This window comes from Homo sapiens, chromosome 5 (genome assembly GCF_000001405.40).
Source record: "Homo sapiens chromosome 5, GRCh38.p14 Primary Assembly".
Taxonomy (NCBI): Eukaryota; Metazoa; Chordata; class Mammalia; order Primates; family Hominidae; genus Homo; species Homo sapiens.
In genome coordinates this window covers 18,218,201-18,242,365 of record NC_000005.10, presented here as the reverse complement: position 1 = coordinate 18,242,365, position 24,165 = coordinate 18,218,201, and the positions used below count along the sequence as shown (strand labels likewise).

At 33.7% G+C, this 24,165-nt stretch overlaps 1 non-coding gene across 1 annotated transcript; it reads right to left on the bottom strand.

Moving 5' to 3' along the window:
* Window positions 1-6,169: 6,169 nt before the first annotated feature.
* LOC124900199 (small nucleolar RNA SNORD81) lies at window positions 6,170-6,243 on the bottom strand. Its single transcript, XR_007059148.1, has one exon. It is a non-coding gene; the product is annotated as a small nucleolar RNA SNORD81 (small nucleolar RNA).
* Window positions 6,244-24,165: the final 17,922 nt, after the last annotated feature.

Here is a 24,165-nt window from a genome sequence, read left to right as displayed (position 1 = left end):
CAGTGCTAACAGGTCTCTAACGAATTAACAAGACTATATTCCCTGAAGGTGAAGCAGCACAGTGTAAAAGCTATGTGTTGTGTCTACAAAATGGATATAGGAAGTGGATCCCTAGAGCTGTTATATTTTACAAATGCATAGAGGTTCATACTATACAAAGAATGACATAAGCAAGCCATATTTTTAGACTGCAACCTATCTGTTCAGCAGCTGGAAAGAAGAGGTCCTTTGCTTATGAACACCAATTAGCCTGAAATACTTCCTTGCCCCTTACTCTATCACAAGACTCTGCAAGAAATAGCTTCTCTAGGAAACCCAGTCCTTTCAATAATGAATAATTGAGAGGAGCCAATTAAATATCAATATAAGAGTGTCATATGAATAAAGAAAGCAGAAGAACATGATTAGTAACAGACAAGAAACTGCTCACCACATAAATGTCATGTAAGAAAGGACAATTGAAATCACAGGGGTTTTTTTAGTGAAATATAAAGCAATTAATTATAAAAAGTAAGAATACAAAGCAGAAATCTAAGAACTTATATGAGTTTGAAGACAGCAGATAGCTGAAATTGAGCTCACAGAACTCCATTCTGAAAAAAAAAGAAAATGTAAAATTGCCACAGAAAGAAAGTAAAATTGAAGAAAACATAGTTGAAAAAATATTAAGAAAGGATAATAAGAGATTCAGAAGCTGGAAATGAGACAAGTAAACAAAATGTGTTGGAAATAAATACTTTTTTAAAACAATTAAGAAAAAATAATAGAAACAAAGCACAAATTTGATTAAATATATGTATAGCTGGAGTTTCTGAAGTGGAATTCAACTATTATAATAAATAATTATAATTTAGGAACATTTTCTAAAATTAAAGATGCCACAAAACTCCTCCAAAGAGCATCCACTATACCAGGAAATATTTACCCACATTTGTCAACACTGGAATATACATTACTTAAGTTGCAGAACTTAAAACTTAAAAAAAAATTCCTATAGTCACTTTTAAAGGGAAAATGGCGTCAGGCTCTAGTCACTCCATAATAGTCAAGAACAGATGACAATGGAGTGATAGTTACAAGATCCTGAAAAAAAGACAGTGTAAGCCAAGGACAAACTTAACAGTCCTCAAAAACAAATGTTTTAGTTGGATAGTTTTGAGCATGCAAACTTTCTATCTGGGGAAAACTACTGAAGAAAAACCTTAGTCAATTCAAATATGACTGGTGAAACTATAAGAAAACTTAGTGCCAATAAATCTGCACTATGCAAATGTTAAAGGAAGTTCTTCTAGCAGAAGAAAAATAACACCAGATGGAATCTTGGAAAAAAATAGCTCCAAATATGGGATATTTGAAGTTAAGAATGAAGGAGATTTTTAAAAATTTTATTTGAAGAAAAATTGAAGGAAAAATAATAATGTATTGTTGGATATATAACATGTGTAGAACTAAAATATAAAATACAATTTATACAAGTATAAAAGGGAATAAATGAAAGTATAAGTTCTTATATAGGAAGAGCTATGTTACTATTTGAAGTCAGATTATAATGAGAGAAGACAGACATTATTAACCCAAGAGCAGCCACTAAAATTTAAAATTTAGTAGGAGGTTAACAGGCAATTGGAGATAAAACAATATACTCAATATTTTTGTCTAAAGAAAACAAAAAATAGGGGAAAAAGGAAAATCAGCAGATAGAAAACAAATAACCAGATGATTCTTTAAAATCCAACCATACACTACATTAAGTGTAAATGAAACAAATATTCTAATTAGAAGAGCTTTTCGAAAAGAAAATTTGACTTTGTGCTGTCTAAAAGAATCTCATTTTAATTTAGAGATTAATATAGGCTAAAGTAAAAAGAAAGCAAGATGATATAATAGTACAAAATTATTCATAATAAACTGGATAGCTGTATTAATGCCTGGAAAAAGAGACTCTAAACATAATATCACAGATTATAAAGGAAATTTCATAATAATAGGTTAATTATTTATCAAGAAGATATAATAATCCTAAATGTTTATAACATTTGTAACAGAGTTTCTAAATATATAAAGTTAAAAAAAATGACCGAATTGAAAATACAACAGACAAATTTACAATTTTAGGTGGGGATATTAAACACTCCTCAGTAATTCATTGTCTATAGGTAATAATGATATAGAAGACTTAACATAGTCAGTTAACTTGCTTTAATTGACATTTATAGAACATGCAACAACTGCAGAACAAATATTATTTTCAAGTGCACATGGTACATTCACCAAGAGAGATAATAATTAGTAATCAGGTGAGTTTCAATACAAAAGTTTGATCTTGCATACAACATGTTCTCTTATAATAATGAAATTCATTTCATAAAGATATTTGGAAAATCTCTAGTATTGGGATGTTAACATACTTCCAAATAAAATATAAAATAAAAGAAATAGCATGGGACATTTTAAAATACTTTGAACTAAATAAAATTAAAAGGCAACTTATTAATAATTGTGGAGTATAGTGGTTTGCTATACAATTTTAGCTTTGAATTATTATACTGGAAAAAAAAGGTCTAATATTATAATCTAAGTTGCTCTCCTCAGAAACCCAAAATATAAGACCAAATTATGTCTAATGTAAGTAGATGAAAAGAAAATATAATAATAAAATTAAAGTCAATGAAAGAGAAAAAATATAGAAATGTCAATAAAATAAAAATTGATGCTTTGAATTGAATAAGAAAATTGATCCATCTTTGTGTATCAATAAAGAATAAAAGAGAAAATATAAATGACTGATTCAGAAATAATAGAGGGGATATGGCTAAAGACATTAAATGAATTATAAAGGTTTAAGATGAGCAACTTTATGACAATAAAAAATGCACATATTCATTACCACTCAGCATATGAGGTAAAGTTGTAATATAAAATTTGATGTCTAATTTTATTATCTATGTTCTTAATTTTTATATGAATTGCTGCCAATTTTATTGCTTTCTTTTAAATATTTCAAAAACTATAACTTATAGGATTGCCAATAAGTAGAAAACTTAGATACTACCTTTTCCCATCCTTTATTTTATTTCAGTGTAAACATGGCTTTTATTTAACTATTTATATTTTCTTTAATAAAATTTTTAAGAAATTGTACAGGTTTCATAACATTTTATTGTCATCCTGTGCTTAGATTTTTCTGCCAGAATGGAAAAAAAAAAACATATTAATGGGCTAAAGAGAGAGGGAAAGTGAGTAGAAGGGACAGCATGTAAGAATGATCTAACATTAGAAATAAGTGCATTTTTACCTAAGAAATTTATTGTTAAATCTATGATTATATATTAAAAGAGGTCTCTGATGATAGTCTGTTTAGCCCATGATGGTATCCAAAATGTAGTAACAAATTTATTTTATAAAGACCATGTGACTCATTTCAGTGGTGCCATTAAAATCATTGATTTTTAGAACACATAAATGAATGGATAGTTTGTGGCCCATTTTATCATGACTTAAATTGATTAATTTATTGACTACCTTTCTCCTCTGGGCAGAAATATTCTTATCTATCTCCTGTCTGTCACTCAATAAACTAACCAGGACTAATAAGTACTCCTCACATCTGAATATTTAATTAGAACAAGAATAAATAACTGAAAGTGTTAATACACAGAGAAAGAAGTCCAGTCAGTTTGATCATCTACCTTCCTTACACTGCAGAGTGTGTTAGTTCAAAACTCCACTTGAGCATCTCCCACATGCTGGGATAGGTACCATCATGCAGATGCTTCCTAAAATTAGCTAGTAGGTGAATTTTTTTTTACCAACAACTTAGTCACAACGTATGATAAAACGCCCAGGTATTCTAAAATGCCACACATGTTGAGGCATTCCTTTCAAGAAAGGCATCAGAACATCTTTGTGCAGGGATTGTTGTTTATGTGTGACCTGTAATGAAGTTCAGGTCTATCCAACAAGGAGTAATGAAGAAACAGGGAGTAGGAGGTAAAACAGTACAATATAAATAAGCATGGAAAGCAGTGAATGGCAGGTGTTTTGTGATTAGTATATTAATACACTGGCAGCACAGAGGGTAGTTTCAGTGAAGAGGTATTTTGACATCAAATGCAGAGCACCTTTATCATTATGCTGATGAGTTTAGAAAAGATTAAATTGCAATTATGGTTGGGGTCTTCCACAACAGTCCAATTGAGAATGAAGATCTTAAATGTCATTATCATGGCTGGAAGGAACAGAAGATAACAGACAACAAGGGAAAATTTCATTTTGAAATGGTGTGGGGAAATCCATATTTTATGTCAGAATTTTTAGTTGTTCAAATTAAACCTTGAAAAAATTTGAAATATGTATTCACTTGTAAATTTAGAACATCTATATAAGACCCCATAAAAAAGCTAAGTGTTATTCATCCATAAAAAAAGAATGGAATTCTGTCATTTGCGGCAGCATGAATGGAACTGGAGTTCATTATAATAAGTGAAATAAGCCAGGCACAGAAAAATAAATATTGCACTTCTCACTCATTTGTGGGAGCTAAAAAGTGTATTTCAATAGGCAAAGAGCAGAATGGTGGTTACCAGAGGCTGGAAATAAAAGAGAGGAGGAGGGAGATGAAGAAAATTTGTTCAATGGGTACAAAAATACAGCTAGATAAAAGGAATAGGTTCTAGTATTTGATAACATAGTAGGAAAAGTATAGTTAACCACAATTTATTGTATATTTTTAAATAGACAAGAAGAATGGTAATGTTCTCAACACAAAGATAAAATTAATGTTTGGGGTTACGGATGTCCCCATTATCCTGATTTGATCACTACACATTGTATACATGTACCAAAATATCACATGTATCCTAAAATAATTATGACTATGATATAGCAATTAAAAAGCTAAGTGATAAATAAAATTTTGATAAAATATTTTAATACAAGTAATTAGCTGAAGTGTTGATATCTTATATAGATAGGCATGTGTGTATATTTAAGTATGTGTGCACATGTATTATGTTGACGCAAAACATAAAAATTGTGGGTTTTGCCTTTGGAAGTGATAGCAAAAACCACTATTACTTTTACACAAACTTAGTATGTAGAAAGTTTAAAGTAAACAACCCAATAGGAAAATAAACAAAGATTCTTGATATGGTTTGGCTGTGTCCACACATAAAATCTCATCTTAAATTGTAATCCCCCAAATCCCCACATTTAGAAACCATGTGGTGGTAATTGAATCATGGGGGCAGTTTCCCCCATGCTGTTCTTGTGATAGTGAGTGAGTTCTCACGAGATCTGATGATTTTGTAAGTGTTTGGTAGTTCCTCCTGCATTCATTCTCCTTCCTGTCACCTTGTGAAGAAGGTTCCTTGCTTCCCCTTACCCTTCTGCCATGATTGTAAGTTTTCTGAGGCCTCCCCAGCTAGGCTGAACTGTGACTCAATTTAACCTCTTTCCTTTATAGATTACCCAGTCTTCGGCAGTTCTTTACAGCAGTATGAAAACAGACTAATACAACTCTGAATAGGTAATTCACAGAAAAATAAATACAAATAACAGAAATATTCATAAAAACATGTTTAACTTTTCTAGTAATAAGTTGCAAATAGAAAAGAACATAAACCATTATTTTTGCTATTTAATTGTTAAAACTGAAAATGTCTGAAATAGCACAATGTTGGTGAGGTCATGGGAAACCAGACATGTTCTAGCATTCTGCAGTGGGTAAGAAGACAGGCTCTGAAATCATGATGATGAGGATTCAAACTATTTTCTAGCTGAGTCACTTTGGGTAATCTGCCTATCAGATCTTAGCCCTCAGTATTTCCTCTTTCTGAAATTCACTCACTCAGTCATCACCATGGTTCTCTACCTCACTTGATGTAGTTTGCTACTAAAATACTAGCATATTATAACTGTCAACCTGATCACATGTTTAAAGTAGCAACACCAAATTTTATATTATTACTCATCATTCCTTACTCTATTTCCTTACTCTATCTAAATTTACCTGTTAATTTTAGATAACCAAGAAAATGTATTTATTTTAACTACTTATCTCCTCTGGTAGATTATAAACTCCATGACCTTGGGGCTTATCCATGTCTTCGTTCACCAAACAAAATAGTAAACATAGCAGAGCAGACATTCAATAGCTATATACTTTTTAAAGAATATCTGACCTGTTATTATCAAATAATCAGTGAGAGAGTTTAAGTCGGAGTGAGATTATCGTATATCCAAAAGCTATTTTTGAATAAATGAATACATGAGTAATAAACAGCTGGGGGCCTAATTTTTCTCACTCATAAAATCAGGATAATAACAACTGCTTGCTGTGGTCATTTTGAAGGTGTTTAAATATGATTCATTGTCTAGCACAGTTTTTGCACATAGCTATCACTAAACATGTAATTGAAATTTTTATTTCTTATTGCTTTTCTACAATTTCAGTGATTTTCCTTTTTGAATAATCGAATTAGTGAAAATAATTTATTTTAATGCTTCCTTAGGACTGCTTTCTTTCTAAATGTATCTTGTTTAGGTCTTCTGATTGCACATATCATTGGTTTCAATATTTATTTTTTATATTGCTGTAGGTTAATAAAGGTTTTAAATTGCTGTGGGTCTTCATTAGGAAATTACATTGAAAAATATTTTGGGTAGCATAGTTTATGAGGACTAAGCTCTGATTTTTATCTTGCCCAAATTCCTACCTAAGGGGTCTGGAGAGTCACGTCCTAGAAATCATAAATTCTCATCAGGTTGGTTATGTAACCCTGTATATTGTGACTTACTTTCCAACATGACTCTGACATAACATTACGAGACAAGGAAGAAAATAAAAATATTTTACCCCAAAACATGTATCTTTGCCATATCTTGAAATGCCCTGCAAAGCTATACTTTGTAGGGGAAAATTTGCATCTGTGAAGAATCTCTATGAACATAGCTAGATCTTTTTCCTTCGGGCCCTCTCAATCCTAAAGAGATTAACTAAAAATCTAGCACCTTAAAGATCCAAATACAAAACATTTGTCATCTACTGTCTCTAAGGGCAGCCACTATAAGACTTCAAAAGAACCTTGGTGTCCACAATCTTTTATTTTAACATGAATATTTCCTTTCTATCCATCCTAGGTCTTTAGACAACTCAACCAACTGTCAACCAGAAAATATTTAAATTTACCTATAGCCTGGAAGCATTCCCCCCTCCCCAGCCCCTGCTTTGAGTTGTCCCACCTTTCTGAACCAAGCCAATGTACTTCTTAGATGTATTTGACTGATGTCTCATGCCTATCTAAAATGTATAAAACCAAGCTGCGCCCCAACCACCTTGGGCACATGTTCTCAGGACTTCCTGAGAGCTGTGTCATGGGCCATGGTCACTCGTATTTGGCTCAGAATACATCCTTCAAGTATTTTATAGAGTTTGACTCTTCTCATTGACATTTAAAATACTATTGAATAATGATCTTTAATCACCATTGTTATGATGATTAACAATTGCAGTAACTGAAGGATACAGACTGTCTGCATCAATAGTACAAACATTCTTTGATAGAATTATTTTCTGCCAAAGATTATGTTCATTTATTACAAAGTACATAGGACAGGAGGTTTACAAAATGTAAAATTTAAGAAAGGTTGCTATATCTGATCTTGATACATTATTAGATATTTTCAGTGTTCCTGGTAATATTTTGTTGTTGTTCTTTCAAATTTGCTGTCATGGGAAAATGATCATAATACCAATATTTTTTGTTTTATTCAAGAGATTGAGAACTGTCTGAGGACAGCTGCACACTTCTACTCATGTGATTGATTTCAACGCAACTCAGATAGTGGTTAAGGAAATTTAAGAATTATGATCTCATAGGTAGAGGATGTTTGACTTTACATTGCTCTGTGCTCCAGTAAATGAACCCTGAGAATTAGGCCACCCTAGAGAGGCTTTATAACCTCAGGCTGACTCTGATTTTGGAAAGCCATTTACTTTCAGTGTTCTCATGTATAAAATGTGGACTGCTTGGATAATCATCACTTCTTATCTAGATCTATGATCCATTCCTTTATAACTTGCTTTTATGACTCCATGAGTGGGACAGCCAGTTCTGCATAAACATCTGCAAATCCTTGCTGAAATTCTGGGAATTTCCTTGAGTGACTGATTAAGATATACAGTCAAAGGAAGAATATTTTATAAAAGCAGTTTTGGTAATCTTGAAAATTTTTGTGTCGGTATAGAGAAATATATATTACACCTCTAAGGAACAGTTGAAAATGTACTTCTTTAATATTTTCCTATAGGTCATATCACATTAGTCAGAATTATTCTCTCCTGTGAATTCCTACAGTGTTTTAATATACGCATCAGTCATATGAAATGTTAAGGACAGGGATTTATTTTTCACTTAATCCTGATTATGTCTGATCAACCTTTGTTTATAAACATATTTTGTGAGAATTTGAGATACTCAAAGTCAAAAATTGAAAAGGTGTTCTTTTGAAGAAAATATGGACCCAATGCATAAATTTTATCAAAATCTTAATGTAATCATATCTCCTAAAGCCTGGAATTAAATGTCTGTCTTTCATTGTTCAAAAACTAAAACTTATTTTCAAAATAGTTTCTGATGACTCTGACAGGAAACATTTGCCTGAACATGTTAATTATTTTATTAACCCTTGTTAAAATGTTATGGCAAAGAGCAGGTTAGGAAACTATTATGAGTGAAATCATTTCAGTTGCAATTGTTTGCAGATTAATTTTACCAAGAGATGTTGGCACCCCAGAACATATTTTTCTCATTACCATGGGGAGGAGTGAACAGTAGCAAACTTTAGTTCATAAGCAAGGACCACAGGACAAGAAGCTTTTAACAAATAACATAGATCTGATGGGCAGAGCTTAAATAAATAAGAAGAAAAAGGATGTCTTGAATTTTGGAGGAGGAAATTTTTCCACACTGAGCAAGCAAATTAATTGAGATACAGGTGAAGAAGCTCTCCTCTGGTGAGTTCCATATTCAGGAAAAGACAGGGTCCCCTAGAATGACATCTTTGGTCAAGAAATGCTAGAGAGTTCTGTTCTCAAGTCCCAGGCATTTTTCCACTCTCTCTCCTATATTTTCTTTCCATTTTCCAATGAGCAAGTTCTTAAAGATGTATTTTTTAGCAAGGAATGCAGTTTTTATTTATTCTGATTACTGTGAAGACTAAAGTTTGAGAATTGTAGGAGAGTCTTACAGAGCTATTAGCCTCTTTGATGTCTTGCAAGATTAAGTTTTTGTTCACATCTCAAATACTAATCTTTTTTTCCCTTTTATTAGAATTACCCATACTTTCATCAAATCTTCCTTTTGACTAAAGCTACATACATGAAAAGAGAGAACATTTTGGGGGCAAAAATTTAGTTGTTCCTCAAAATATTGGTGTTTGCAATGCAATGAATAGGCAATTGCCTAGTAATACATGTTGTTAATGAGGTTTTAGCTTTTATTTATACCTCAAATCAATTTATTTGGGTGATTTAAAAATTCAGGGCTTTTATCTCTTTGATCATATCATGTTTATATCCTGAAATATATATTTCTTTATTTCTATCTTATCATCACTTTCACATAACATATCTGTTCCCTATTTAGACACTATTACCATTTTGTATACATCTTTTTGGTAAAAAAAAAAAAAAAAAAAAGATCAAAAGCTGAGTAAATAGGATTCCCAAGGTGAGATCAGATTAAATAATACCATTTTACCCTGAAGTCTAGAAGTCATTTGAATCTTCCTCCATATTCTATATATTTATTAACTGATAAGAAGCAAATACTACAATATGTCACTCTTATTCACATGTCTCACTTATTCATGTATCTCACTTGGAATAGTGTAGATAATTTAAAATAACAAATATTGGAAGGCTGAGGCGGGCAGATCACAAAGTCAGGAGTTTGAGATCAGCCTGGCCAGCATGGTGAAACTATTTCTCTACTAAAAATACGAAAAATTAGCCAGGCATGGTGGTGTGCTCCTGTAATCCCAGCTACTCAGGAGGCTGAGGCAGGAGAATTGCTTGAACCTGGGAGGCGGAGGTTGTGGTGAGCCGAGAACAAGCCATTGCACTCCAGCCTGGGCAACAGAGCAAGATTCCATCTCAAAAAAAAAGAACAAATAATCTTGAAATAATTTACATTAATCTTTGTTGGGTGTGATAAGTTTTGTAATACTTAAGTACAAGTTTCTGTCTTACTAGTTGATTTTTTTTGTATTCTAATATTAAAAAGTACTTGTTAATGTGTATTAAGATTAAGCAGCTAGGTTAACAAAAGCCAATCTGTACTGAATTAATATTACATACCCTTCAACAGTTAACCGACTAATTAATCTCATATGTTAGAAGATCTACCACATCCCAGCCTCTGGTCTAGAATAGAAATAAGGCATCATATGTTTCTTGCTCTTTCCAATTCATGCTCTCATCCTTTAAGTAGACTCTCATTTCTTTAAGGAAAATTTTTCCAATTTCCCAAACTATTACTCAATGATACAGACAGTACTCTGAACCTCTCTTCCACATTATAGATACCTTTTGAGAGTATGTATTCATGAATGCAAGTACCACGATGAAGGTGCTATGGTTTGGATATTTGTTTCCTCCAAATCTCATATTGAAATTTGGTCCCAGTGTTGGTGGTGGGGTCTGATGGAAGGTTTTTGGGTCATGGAGGTGGGTCCCTCCTAAATAGATTAATGCCCTCCCTCAAGGTGAGTGAATTCGCACTCTATAAGTGGCCTCCAGAGTTGGTTGTTTAAAAGAGAGCCTGGCATCTCCTCCATCTCTCATTTGCTTCCTCTCTGGCTGTGTGGTCTCTGCACACTCAGGCTCCACTTCACTTTCTGCCATGAGTGGAAGCAGCCTGAGGCCCTCACCAAATGCAGATGCCTAATCTTGAACTTTTCTACCTATCAGAATTGTGAGTCCAATAAACTTTTTTCTATATAAATTATCCAGACACAAGTATTCTTTTATAGCAACACAGAATGGACTAAGACAATGGGAATTTTGTCTGCCTACTTTAGTACTAGATTCAGGAACAGTTCCTGGCAAACAGTAGATGCTCAATAATTATCTGTTAAATGACATTAAGTCAGGCAATATTTAAATCTTCTTCTAGACTATTGGAACAATAGAGACGTGATCACCTTTTTGTTGTCTAGTGCTGTGCTTAATGTGGGGTATGGAACATGGTAGGTGCCCAATAGATATCTCTTTTTATGAGCTTATTACTTTATTACAAAGAATGTTGCAGCATTATAAGCATTCAGTTAAAATGGAAATTGTGGGATTCCTAAAATCAAGATACTTTTAAATGTAGGATGTAATTAAAAAGATGATTAATTTTTACAAAGCTGAGATAAGAATCATACCCAGGATAGGATGTAAAATAAAAGAGAGCTGAACTGTGTGAGCTACACAGCGTTGTAGTATGTTTCTTTAATTTAGGATGAGATCCTCAATAGCTCTGCCCCTCAGGACCATTTAGTACTTTATTTTTTCTTATCTCTGCTGCTTCACATAGATGTAATATTTAAGTAAAAATCACTGTTCAATGAATACTTTTAAGAGCTGAACTGTTTAAAATAACTAAATTATCTCACTTTGTTTCAAAAACATTTCACTATAAATATGTTATGTATTAAAATCAATAACAAAATTAAAACAGACTAACATCATAGGAATATTATTTTATATGTGATTGGTTAAAAGGCACTTTTAAATAAATATTACTTCATGATAAAAGGTGATATTTTTCTAATTACTTAAATCCCAAAATCTTTAAAATTATTATCTAAACCTGATCATATAGGAAGATCTTGATTGGAATTAATGTTTAAACCTTTTTGGGGTTTGGTCAGTATACTAGGCTGTGAGCTTACTTATCTCATAGTTGTCATATTTATGACTATCTAGGTACAGTACACACTAATGCCATAAGCAATCTGGCTATATTTTTGCATAATTTTTTCAGTTGAAAGTAAGAGAAAGAAAGGAAAGAGAAAGTTGGTATAATATTTCCTGTGAGGCATAAAATATATTTCTGCTTATACTGAGTGGCATAGGCTTTTTTTGTGTTTTATTTATTTTTTTCTTATCATTTATTTCTATAAGTAGCCCACATACATCACTGTAGTGACCAGTTACTGGGATAGTAAATGGTGAAGGATGAGCATGTTTAGGGAGAGAAAATGAGTTTAGTTTTGAAAATGTTTAACATGTCTGTGAAATATTCAAAGGGAAATTTCTAACAGACATTAAGATATATCATTCTGGAAATACAGTTGGCATTCTGTGTTGGAGATACAAATTTCAGATCACTTGAGATCATGAAACAACAGAAAAGATGGAAAAGAGATATGGTGTTAGAAGAAGGGGAGTAGTTATATGTGTTGAATGCTACTGAAAGTTCAGATCTTTTTTTTAAATTTTATTATTATTATACTTTAAGTTTTAGGGTACATGTGCACAATGTGCAGGTTTGTTACATATGTACACATGTGCCATGTTGGTGTGCTGCACCCATTAACTCATCATTTAACATTACGTATATCTCCTAATGCTATCCCTCCCCACTACCCCCACCCCACAACAGTCCCTGGAGTGTGATGTTCCCCTTCCTGTGTCCATGTGTTCTCACTGTTCAATTCCCATCTATGAGTGAGAGCATGAGGTGTTTGGTTTTTTGTCCTTGCGATAGTTTGCTGAGAATGATGGTTTCCAGTTTCATCCATGTCCCTACAAAGGACATGAACTCATAAAAACCCTAGAAGAAAACCTAGGCAATACCATGCAGGACATAGGCATGAGCAAGGACTTCATGTCTAAAACACCAAAAGCAATGGCAACAAAAGCCAAAATTGACAAATGGGATATAATTAAACTAAAGAGCTTCTGCACAGCAAAAGAAACTACCATCAGAGTGAACAGGTAACCTACAGAATGGGAGAAAATTATCACAACCTACTCATCTGACAAAGGGCTAATATCCAGAATCTACAATGAACTCAAACAAATTTACAAGAAAAAAACAAACAACCCCATCAAAAAGTGGGTGAAGGATATGAACAGACACTTCTCAAAAGAAAGTTCAGATCTTTAAAGTGCTTAGTATTGTTCTTGGCATGTGAAGAATGGTCAGTAAATATCAACTATGATAATGACCCTGATGATTCTACAGCCAAGAAAGAAGAGGGCATAAGATGTCCACTATATTTCTTCTGACATTATCTTCAAAATCTCAATTATGCATAGGTGAGAACACAGCTGTTTATAACCATCCCCTCTCTCCCTTCCTTTATTCCTTCTTCTTTCCAGAATTCTCTCCTTCCTTCTTTCCTCCCCTCTTTGCTTCCTCTTTTCTTTCTTTCATTTTCTTCTAATCATTTCTTCTCCTTTTAAACAACTTGGTTTCCTAATTTGTTTACCATGTCACTGATTTTGCTGTCTATGGAATAAATTCTAAACTCCCTGTGTATGAATATTATTTAGTTTAGTCATTGAAATTTATTCTCCTTAAAATATTTCCATGTTTGTCTTATTTTCTTATATGTTTAAATTTCTACTAATTTCTTTATATAAAATCTGTTATCTAATTGTTGTATCTTATACCTGCTTTATCACACACTCTTTCTTGCATTTAATTGAAAATTGAATGAGGTGCTTTCCAAAATTTTCCTCTGATTTTGGTAATCCTTTTCCCCCTGAAATTGATTCTTCATCTTTGCAATTTGAGTGCATTCTTTATCTTGGCATGTTGAATGCAATATTCATTTTCTTTTATATGACAGTATAATCTAGAACCTTTCTAATCCTATTTATTTTTGAATGTGGAAATATAATCAAGTATAGTTTTTGCCAGCAAACAGTGAGTAAGTTTGCTTTGCTTTTCCTTTTACTGTCCATAAGTGTGCTATAAGAAACCTCTTCTCAGGTAATAAATAGGAACGCACTCCTATGAACAACCTCAAGCTCAATTTCAAGCTCCTGTCTCCTTTATATGCCTCTCTTGGACAGAGGAAAGATTTTCCTATGTTCTTACTTGCTGCCTGGTGGTCATAGTACTTTTTGCATAGTAAGCTGAAGCCAGTTACTCCATCCCTTGCCAGAAGTCTCCAGTGAATATCATAAAATACTATAAACCACCCTGTTTATTGCTTCTTGCTTTTCATTCCTTCCTAGTCTTATAATTATCAATGAGGCAACCTCTTACTGCCTGTCCCTTTCCTTTTCTTGCTGTTTTTCACTGATGACCCTTTGCCCCTGGTTTGTATTTTATGGTTATTTCATGGGATGTTGAGAATAAGGATTAAGTATTACCACATAGCAATAATCATAACAGAAGGGCTGTGTGTGTATATATACTGTGTGTATCAGGTTTGTTTTGGGGGTTTTTCTTTTGCTCGATGTATTCAGTTACTTATATGATTATGAGAAGCATCTCTAAAGTCTACGACAGCCATGAGAATCACTTCTTATTGAAACCTTAAAGCACATGGGCATGATCTTTAAAGATTCTAACAGATCTAATTATTTTCACATAATGTTTTGTACTTTTCAACTCTATTTTCTAGGTCCTAAATTATTTTCAAGCTGAGCAAGAGCATCATCAACATACTCAAGGTATGGATTAAAGAGATCATTTTCAAGTTCACTCTATTTTATCTTCCTTTTATAATATTCATGTTCCTTCTGACAAATCTATTCGTTTTCACATTTATAAATTTCCCTAATTTTTAGTCTTTAAACTTTCTAATCACTATTTGCATATTAAAGAATACATTCAGTTCAATATTTTAGGTATATTAGCTCTTGATTAATGCTATTTTAACAAAAAATTGCTGAGTTACACATTTTGCAAAGAAAATAATAATTAGTTTTTCCCTATTGAAGTTATACAAAATTTTGCTCTTCTGTATTGGAATTAATGTAGTGCGATGCTTTTCTACTCTTGTTTGCTCAAGTAATAATACTTTTCAGTCATGGCTACAATGTTAGATCCAAAGGGTTGACACAAACTCTAAATCAGAAACATCAAAGACCTTCCCAACAATATTTCAATCTGGATTATAATAAGTGTTACTTTTTTCTCTTTTCTGGTGAAAATTTCCAAGCATGTGAACCTCAGCTTACAAGTAGCTGTAACTTCTGTTATGAAAATAGATTTGACATCTTTCTTCCCTGCAGTTGCTTAAGACAAGAATATTTATTTTATAACCAAGCAAATTTGAAGTGACCATTGTTCCTTTTAACAAAAGAATTCTGTAGAATATAGTTTTAAAAACTATACTTTATTGAACCAAGGATATTAGATGTTTCAGATTTTCTTATTTTTAGAAGGATCCACCTAGGATTTTTTTACCCTTATTTTTATTTAAAGAAACAAAAATTTATTGATGCACCAATGCATATAAATAACTCCAACATTTAAGGTCTACATAAAAAACTTTCAATTCAGTGATGTGTGGATTGAAAATCTGCAGATTTTTCTCAGATATGTCCCTTGATAATCGGCCAATTAATTTTTTAAAAAAGCTAAGAGTATGGGCTAAAAATTCTAAAGCCACTATATATGTATACCAGAATTGAACAATTAAGTTAAAAAATGGCAGAGAGTGGGAAACAGATTTCTCACTGTTGGAGTTGGAGGTTACAGATAAACAAGGGAGAATACTAGAATGACAGATTTAAGTTGGGTACATCAGTATGAACTCATGTTCATATAAATACAGATAGTTACATATAGAAGTATTTATGGAGACATGTATACACACTGGTTAGTATACACACATATATTGCCTTGCTCTGTCAGCTGACTCTTATCAATAATGATATTCCCAGTGAGCACCCCTGCTGCTCAGATCATTGTTCCTAATACCACCTTCCAATAAAAGAGACCAGGTCTCCTTGGAGACATGACTGATTCTATGACTAAGAAAGAAACTATACAAGATGAGCCTGGGGCACCTTGTATTACCAAAAAACATACACCTTGTATACTCTAAACAAACAAATACATTGAAAAACCATGATAGGGATTATGTCAAAAGGACACTGACACTGATTGTACTATTTCCCAATAACCAAAGCTGAAACAATTTGAACAACAAAATAAAGTAGTATTGCATTATAACCCAATGTATAAAATAAATATCCATGGATCCATACTAATGTAAGTAAAGATAAAATACATGAATACATAGTATAGACAGACAAATATCCCATGCAGAAAATTTCTGAAAAAATTACTGTGGATATTCCTACCTCAGGGAGGTGGAGAATATGCCCTACTCTAAGGTGTGGGCTGAACATGGTTACTTTCTTCTAAAGATTATAGTGTAAAAATGTGGGTAAGAAACATAGGTTCACAATGGATAAATCTTAAACACACTACTTCAGCCTGTGATCAAGGTTAACATCAACAGTGATAACTATTGTTGAAAGTATGTGTCCTTGAAACATTTTGATAATAATGAAACTTTATTTTTGTGGTCTTCCCCAAAACACATAACATTAGTCTAATCATGAGAAAAACATTATACAAATCTTAATTGAGAGGTATTCTACAAACTACGTAGCCAGTATTCCTAAATACAATCAAGGTCATCAAAAAGCAGAAATATCTGAAAAATTGTCATAGTCAAGTAGAACCTAAGGAAACATGATAAACATGATGTGGTATCCTGGATATGATCCTAGAACAGATAAAGGACATTAGACAGAAACTAAAACAATCTGAATAATCAATGGTAGTTAGTCAATAATAATCTATCAATATTGGTTCATTAATTTTGACAAATGTAGCATACTACAGTACAATGTTAATAATAGATGAAACATATGTAATATATGGAAACTGTACTGTTTTTTCATTTTTTTCTATAAACCTAAAACTATTATAAAATTTTTAAGTTTTTTTTTAGTCATGGAGTTTATTGAAGCTGGACCCCTTCCTTACACAATATATCTTATTTAATTTTTCTTTAACTTTTCATTTTTTGTAGGAACATATTAGGCATACATGTTTATGGGGTACATGAGAAATTTTGATAAAGGCATGCAATGTGAAATAAATATGTCATGGAGAATGGGTATAAAAAATACTTACACCACATACAGAAGTCAACTCATGATGGATTAAAGACTTAAAAGTAAAGCCTAAAACTATAAAAACCCTGGAAGGTAACCTAGGAAATATCATTCTGAACATTGAACCTGACTTCATGACAAAGACATCAAGAGGAATTGCAACAAAAACAAAATAGACAAAAGGAACCTAATTAAACTAAAGTGTTTCTGCATAACAAAAGAAGCTATCAATAGGATAAACAGACAACATATAGATTAGAAGAAAATATTTGCAAAATATGCATCTGACAAAGGTCTAATATTTAAAATCTATCAGGAACTTAAACAAATTAACAAGCAAAAAGCAAACAATTCCACTAAAAAGTAGGCAAAGACATGAAGAGGCTCTTTGCAAAAGAAGACATACATGTGGCCAAACAAGCCTATAAAAAATGCTCAAAATCGGCCAGGCGCAGTGGCTCACACCTGTAATCCCATCACTTTGGGAGGCCGAGGCGGGTGGATCACTGAGCTCAGGAGATTGAGACTATCCTGGCTAACAAGGTGAAACTCCATCTCTACTAAAAATACAAAAAGAAATTAGCCAGGCATGGTCGTGGGCACCTGTAATCCCAGCTACTTGGGAGGCTGAGGTAGGAGTATGGCATGAACCTGGGAGGCAGAGCTTGCAGTGAGCCGAGATCATGCCACTGCACTCCAGCCTGGGGGACAGAGCGAGACTCCGTCTCAAAAAAAAAAAATGCTCAAAATCACTAATCATTATAGAAATGGAAATCAAAGCCACATGAGATACAGCCTCACAACAGTCAGAATGGCTATTATTAAAACGTCAAAAAAACACAGATGCTGGTGATGCTGTGGAGAAAAGGGAACACTCATACACTGCTGGTGGGAATGCAAATTAGTTCAACCACTGTGGAAAGAAGTCTGGTGATTTTTCAAATAATTTAAAACACAAGTACTATTTGACCTAACGATTCCATTATTGGGTATATACCTAAAAGAAAATAAATCAGTTTACCATAAAGGCACAGGCACATGTTTGTTACCTCCCACAGGGTCTGTCCCACAACACGTGGTGACTATGGGAGCTATAATTCAAGACAAGATTTGGCTGGGGACACAGACAAAGCATATCATTCCACCACTGGCCCCTCCCAAATCTTATATTCTCACATTTCAAAACCAATCATGCCTTCCCAATAGTCCCCCAAAGTCTCAACTCATTTCAGCTCAACTCAAAATCCAAGTCCAAAGTCTCATCTGAGACAAGGCAAGGTCCTTCCACCTATGAGCCTGTCAAACCAAAAGCGAGTTAGTTACTTCCTAGATATAATGGGGATACAGGCATTGGGTAAATACATTCATTCCAAATGGGATAAATTAGCCAAAACAAAGAGGCTACAGGCCCCATGCAAGTCTGAAATCTAATAGGGCAGTCATTAAAGCTTAAGGTTTCAAAATGATCTCCTTTGACTTCATGCCTCCCATCCAGGGCACATTTATGTGAGAGGTGGTCTCCCATGGCCTTGGGAAGCTTTTCCTCTGTGGCTTTGCAGGGTATAGCCCCCCTCCTGGCTGTCTTCATGGGATGATGTGGAGTGTCTGCAGCTTTTCCAGGTGCACAGTGCAAGCTGTAGGTAAATCTGTCATTCTGGGGACTGGAGGATGGTGGCCCTCTTCTCACAGCTCCACTAGGAAGTGCCCCAGTGGAGACTCTGTGTAGGAGCTCCAAACCTACATTTCCTTTCCACCCTGTCCTAGCAGAGGATCTCCATGAGGGCCTCGCCCCTGCAACAAACTTCTTCCTGGACATCCAGGCATTTCCATACATCCTCTGAAATCTAGGTGGAGGTTCCCAAACCTCAATTCCTGACTTCAGTGTACCTGCAGGCTCAACACCACATGGAAGCTTCCAAGGCTTGGGGCTTGCACCCTCTGAAGCCATGGCCTGAGCTGTACTGTGGCCCCTTTTAGCCATGGCTAGGGAGGCTTAAATGCATTGCATCAAGTCTCTAGGCTGCACACAGCAAAGGGGCCCTGGACCAGGCCCAGGAAACTGTTTTCCCCTTTTAGGCCTCAGGGTCTGTGATTGAAGGGGCTGCCTTGAAGGTTTCTGACATGCCCTGGAGATATTGTCCCCATTGTCTTGATGCTTAACATTCCTCTCCTTATTACTTACGCAAATTTCTGCAGCAGGCTTGAATTTCTTCCCAAAAAGTGGGTTTTTCTTTTCTATTGCATCATCAGGTTGCAAAGTTTTCAAACTTTTATGCTCTGCTTCCTCTTGAATGCTTTGCTACTTAGAAATTTCTTTCATAGGATACCTTAAATCATTTCTGTCAAGTTCAACTTCCATAGATCTCTTTGGCAGGAGTGAAATGCCACCAGTCTCTTTGCATAACAAGAGTCAGCTTTGCTTCAGTTCCCAACAAGTTCCTCATCTCCATCTGAGGCCACCTCAGCCTGGACCTTATTGTCCATATCACTATCAGCATTTTGGTCAATGCCATTCAACAAGTCTCTAGGAAGTTCCAAACTTTTCCACATTTTTCTCTCTTCTTCTGAGTCCTTTAAATTGTTCCAACCTCTGCCCATTACCCAGTTCCAAAGTTGCTTCCAAATTTTGGGCATTCCTTAGCAGCTTCCCACTACCCGGTAACAATTTACTGTATTAGTCCATTCTCACACTGCTAATAGATTACCCTTGACTAGGTAATCTATATAGGAAAGAGGTTTAATAGACTCATAGTTCTTTATGGCTGGGGAGTCCCAGGAAACCTATAATCATGGCAGAAGTGGGAGCAAACATGTCCCTCTTCACATGGCAGCAGCAGGTAAAAGAGAGTGTACAGAGGAACTGCCCCTTATGAAACCATCAGATCTCATAAGAACTCACTTACTATAATGAGAACAGCATGGCAAACCCACCCCCATGATTCAATCACCACCCAACGGGTCCCTCCCATGACACATGGGGATTATGGGAGCTATAATTCAAGGTGAAATTTGGGTGGAGACACAGCCAAATCATATCAAATAACTCATAAGGAACAATTGTAACAATATACTCTAATAAAAGTTATGTGAATGTGGTCTCTGTCTCTCTCTCCTCTCTCTCTCTCTCAAAACATCTTATTCTACTGTACAGTGAGTAATAGAAATTATGAAAAGCATAACTGTGGATAAGAGGGGGCTACTTTATGCTCCTGTAGGGACTGGGTTTAGAATGAAGTATCCTATTTGAGTATCAATCTGTTTAATTAGGGACTCCTGCTACTATTTACTTTTCTCCTGTCTTATTTTCCAAATGCTGGAGAATCTTCCCTTATTCCAGACAAATGGATGCCTCTGTCCCAATAGGGATGTATTCTTAACTTTCATCAACTATCGTCTATGGTTCAGATCCATTTGCTTGTCTATACTCCTGCAAGAATCGTATTATGCATAACCTTGAATTGATTATGAAAACATTGAATATCACAGTAGGAAAATCCTTACCTCCAACTAAAAAGAGGTTTCTTTTAGTCTTCATCTATAATTTTTATTTGTTTGTCCTTTTTTATGACTTGTTTTTTGGTTTGATTGAATAAATATTTGTATGAGTTGCATAATTATAAATGAGTTAGATACAAAATATATAAATATGTATGTTTAGAAATGAATTAAAGGAGAGTATCTTTGGCATCTATCAGAGGATATGCTTTTTTTAACAAAACTTTATCATATTGGAAAATAGACATTTATATGATATATGTATATAAGGGGATTTGAGCTTCTGTTCACTAACTAGTCGTCAAAATATACGATGTTTTACAAGTTTAGAGTGTTGAAATACTTTAGCTTAAAAATTCTTTTACAAATATACCACATAATTTAAATTCACTCAATTGCCTCTGTCTCACAACAGACATTAGCTCTCACTCATTTGAACTATGGAGGTCAATTTGAAGTAGTAAGAAGTATGATATTAGACAACTTTTAAGTGAAGTTGTATAATTTTAAGTAATTCAGTATAAATTATTAAAACAGTATTCCTTAAAAAAATTCATTATATTTTTGAAAGTAACATTTAATCTAATTATTGTATGTTAATAGTTTGAGTGTGTAAAATAATTAAGAAAACTATAAACTAGATAAAATGATAATCAGAATTTGAAGAACTATCATGTGTTGATGTTAATGATTTTTTAAATTAATAAATTTTTTTTTAGCTGTTTCCAATCTACAGAAAAATGGAGCAGAAAGTACACAGAGTTTTCATATACCCCTCAACCTTCTTACATACAGTTTACCCTACTATCTTGCTTTAATTTGGAACATTTAATATAATTGATGAGTCAACGTTGAGTCATCACTCTTAACTAAAGTCCATAGTTGACATTATGGCTCACTCTGTGTTGTACATTCTGTGTGTTTTGACAAATGCATAATGACAAGTATCATCCATTGGAGTATCATATAAAATAGTGTCATGTCACTGCCCTAAAAATCCCCTGGGCTCCAACCATTCATCTATCACTCCCTCTACTGAACCCATGGCAATTACTGAAATTTTTACTCTTTCTCCTTTTTCCTTTTCAGAATATCATATAGTGAGAATAATACAGTATGTAGCCCTTTCAGATTGGCTTTGTTCACTTAGCAATATGCATTTAAGGTTCCTCCATATTCTTTTATGACTTGATAGTTCATGTCTTTGTATTGCTGAATAATATTCCATTGTATGGGTGCATCACATCTCATCCATCTATACATATGTATATGTAACTTGTTACTTCATTTTTTACTTCATTTTAATGTACATCAAATGGCTTGATTTTTGCCCACAGATTCCTGAGTGATTCAGTTTGTGAAGTTTATTATGTCACCTAGTTCACTGATCTTTTCTCTGACAGTGTCTAATCTGCTTTTAAGACCAGACAGTGAATATTTGATCTTAAATGATTTAATTTTGAGATTTTAAATTTAAAATTTTTATTTTAAGAGTTTCCATTTCTTTTTATATTTTCATGATTTTATTTTAATTCTTGAGCATGTTTATAAGCTGAATTTATGTTTTGTCTACTACTTCCATCTCTGTCATTTATGCATCCGTTTCTATTTTTGTAGTTTCTCCTAGTTATGGTACTGTATTACTGTTTCTTTTTAAATCTGGTAAATTGCTTGTGCTCCAGTAATTTAATACAACTTCAACTCGTTGTATTTTTTATTTGTTTGTCAACATCTCAGCTTGGCATTCCTTTAGGTGAAAAATTTAATTCTGTATACATACATGATAGCCTGTCATAAATTTTTCTTTCTTTTTCCTTCTTATTTTTTTGGTGTATTTTTTTTCTAACAGTCAATTTGTCAGTTGTTCTCTTTGATGGATTATTCTTTTTGTAGAAAGTCTAAAAACACTTTTCCTAGCCCCAGACCCTGAAGATAATCTCCTATATTTTTCCAAATATTTTAGGGTTTAAATTTAACACTTTTGGATGTGACTTGTTTTGAGTTCATTTATTTAAAGTCTGATACTTAGGTAAATGTTCATTTTTTTGCATATGGGAGTTCAGTTCTTCATTATCATTTGTTGGAAATGCTATCTTCCCTCCATTTAATTGCTTTTGTGTCTTTGTAAACTATGAATTGGGCATAATTCTGTGGGTCTATTTCTGGATCCAGTTCTATTATATTGTTCTATGTGTCTATCACCCTGCCAAAAAAAAAAAGTCCTGGATTTCTACTTATCTAAAATTCAAAATTCTAGATCCTTGCTTTTGCTGAAATTTGATGATCAGACAGTATTTAAAGATATTTTGATTAGACAAATTATATGTTTTTATCAATTACCCTATGCACCCCATTATAGCTGGCAATTCTTTTTGTTTGTTTCATTGTGTGCTTAAATGTTTTTCCCAGCTACTATTATCCGAAACTTCTTTAATGTGAATTAGACATGGAGTTTTCATTTTCTTTTTCACACATAGTTGTTTCCTGATATCTGGTTTAGAAATAATATTAAGATGCCAAATCTCAAGGAGGTGAAGAAAGGGTCTATAAGAGTAGTTACCTTAGCTGTAATATTTTTGTTTAGTAGATTTTTTTAGTGGTTATTTCATGTTTTGTTTGGGGCATTTTTTACTTTGGTTTTATAAAAAGTAACAAATAGTTTCATAATTGTTTCATGTAACATGGAGGTAGGACTTGAAAAAGTAATTCAGCTATTCTTATTATGTATTAATTGTTCAAATGAACCAGTGTGGGATGTTAACACTATCAATTAATTGGTGTGATTAGGCTTGCCATTTTATTTTTATAAATTGTGTATTTTTTCTGAATGCGCTTGAGTCTAAGAGTGGGAAAAAATAATTTTCTACTTTGGACTAATCTGTAAAGGTTTTTGAAAGTCTGTATTAATAACTTGTTGAATTCATGATATTCTGCCTATGGCACAAATTGTAAACTTTTGCTTTTCTAAAATAAAGTAATTCACCACCTGCAAGAAAAAAAAATGGTAAGAAAAAACAGGGGGGACACATGCCTTGGGAATGAAAGGGATTTCTCATTACAGCCTGGCCAGGTTGGAAATCTCACTTTCTACTTGGCTTTTTCTGGCTGGTTGGGATGGGAGTGAAACAGGGTTTATTTCTGTGGTGATTGGCCTGGTTAGATTTGTTAGTGTCTAAAAGTTCTCTTTCTAGGCTCTCCTTTTGTAGTAGTCCATTGCCACACTGCTAATAAAGACATACCTGAGACTGAGTAATTTATAAAGGAAAGAGGTTTAATGGATCACAGTTCCACATGGCTGGATAGGCCTCACAATCATAACGGAAGATGAAGGAAGAACAAAGGGACATCTTACATGGCAGCAGGCAAGAGGACATGTGCAGGGGAACTGCCCTTTATAAAACTATCAGATCTCATGACACTTATTCACTACGACGAGAACAGCATGGGGAAAACTCACCTCCATGATTCAATTACCTCCCACTAAGTCCCTCCCATGACACGTGGAGATTATTACAATTCAACGT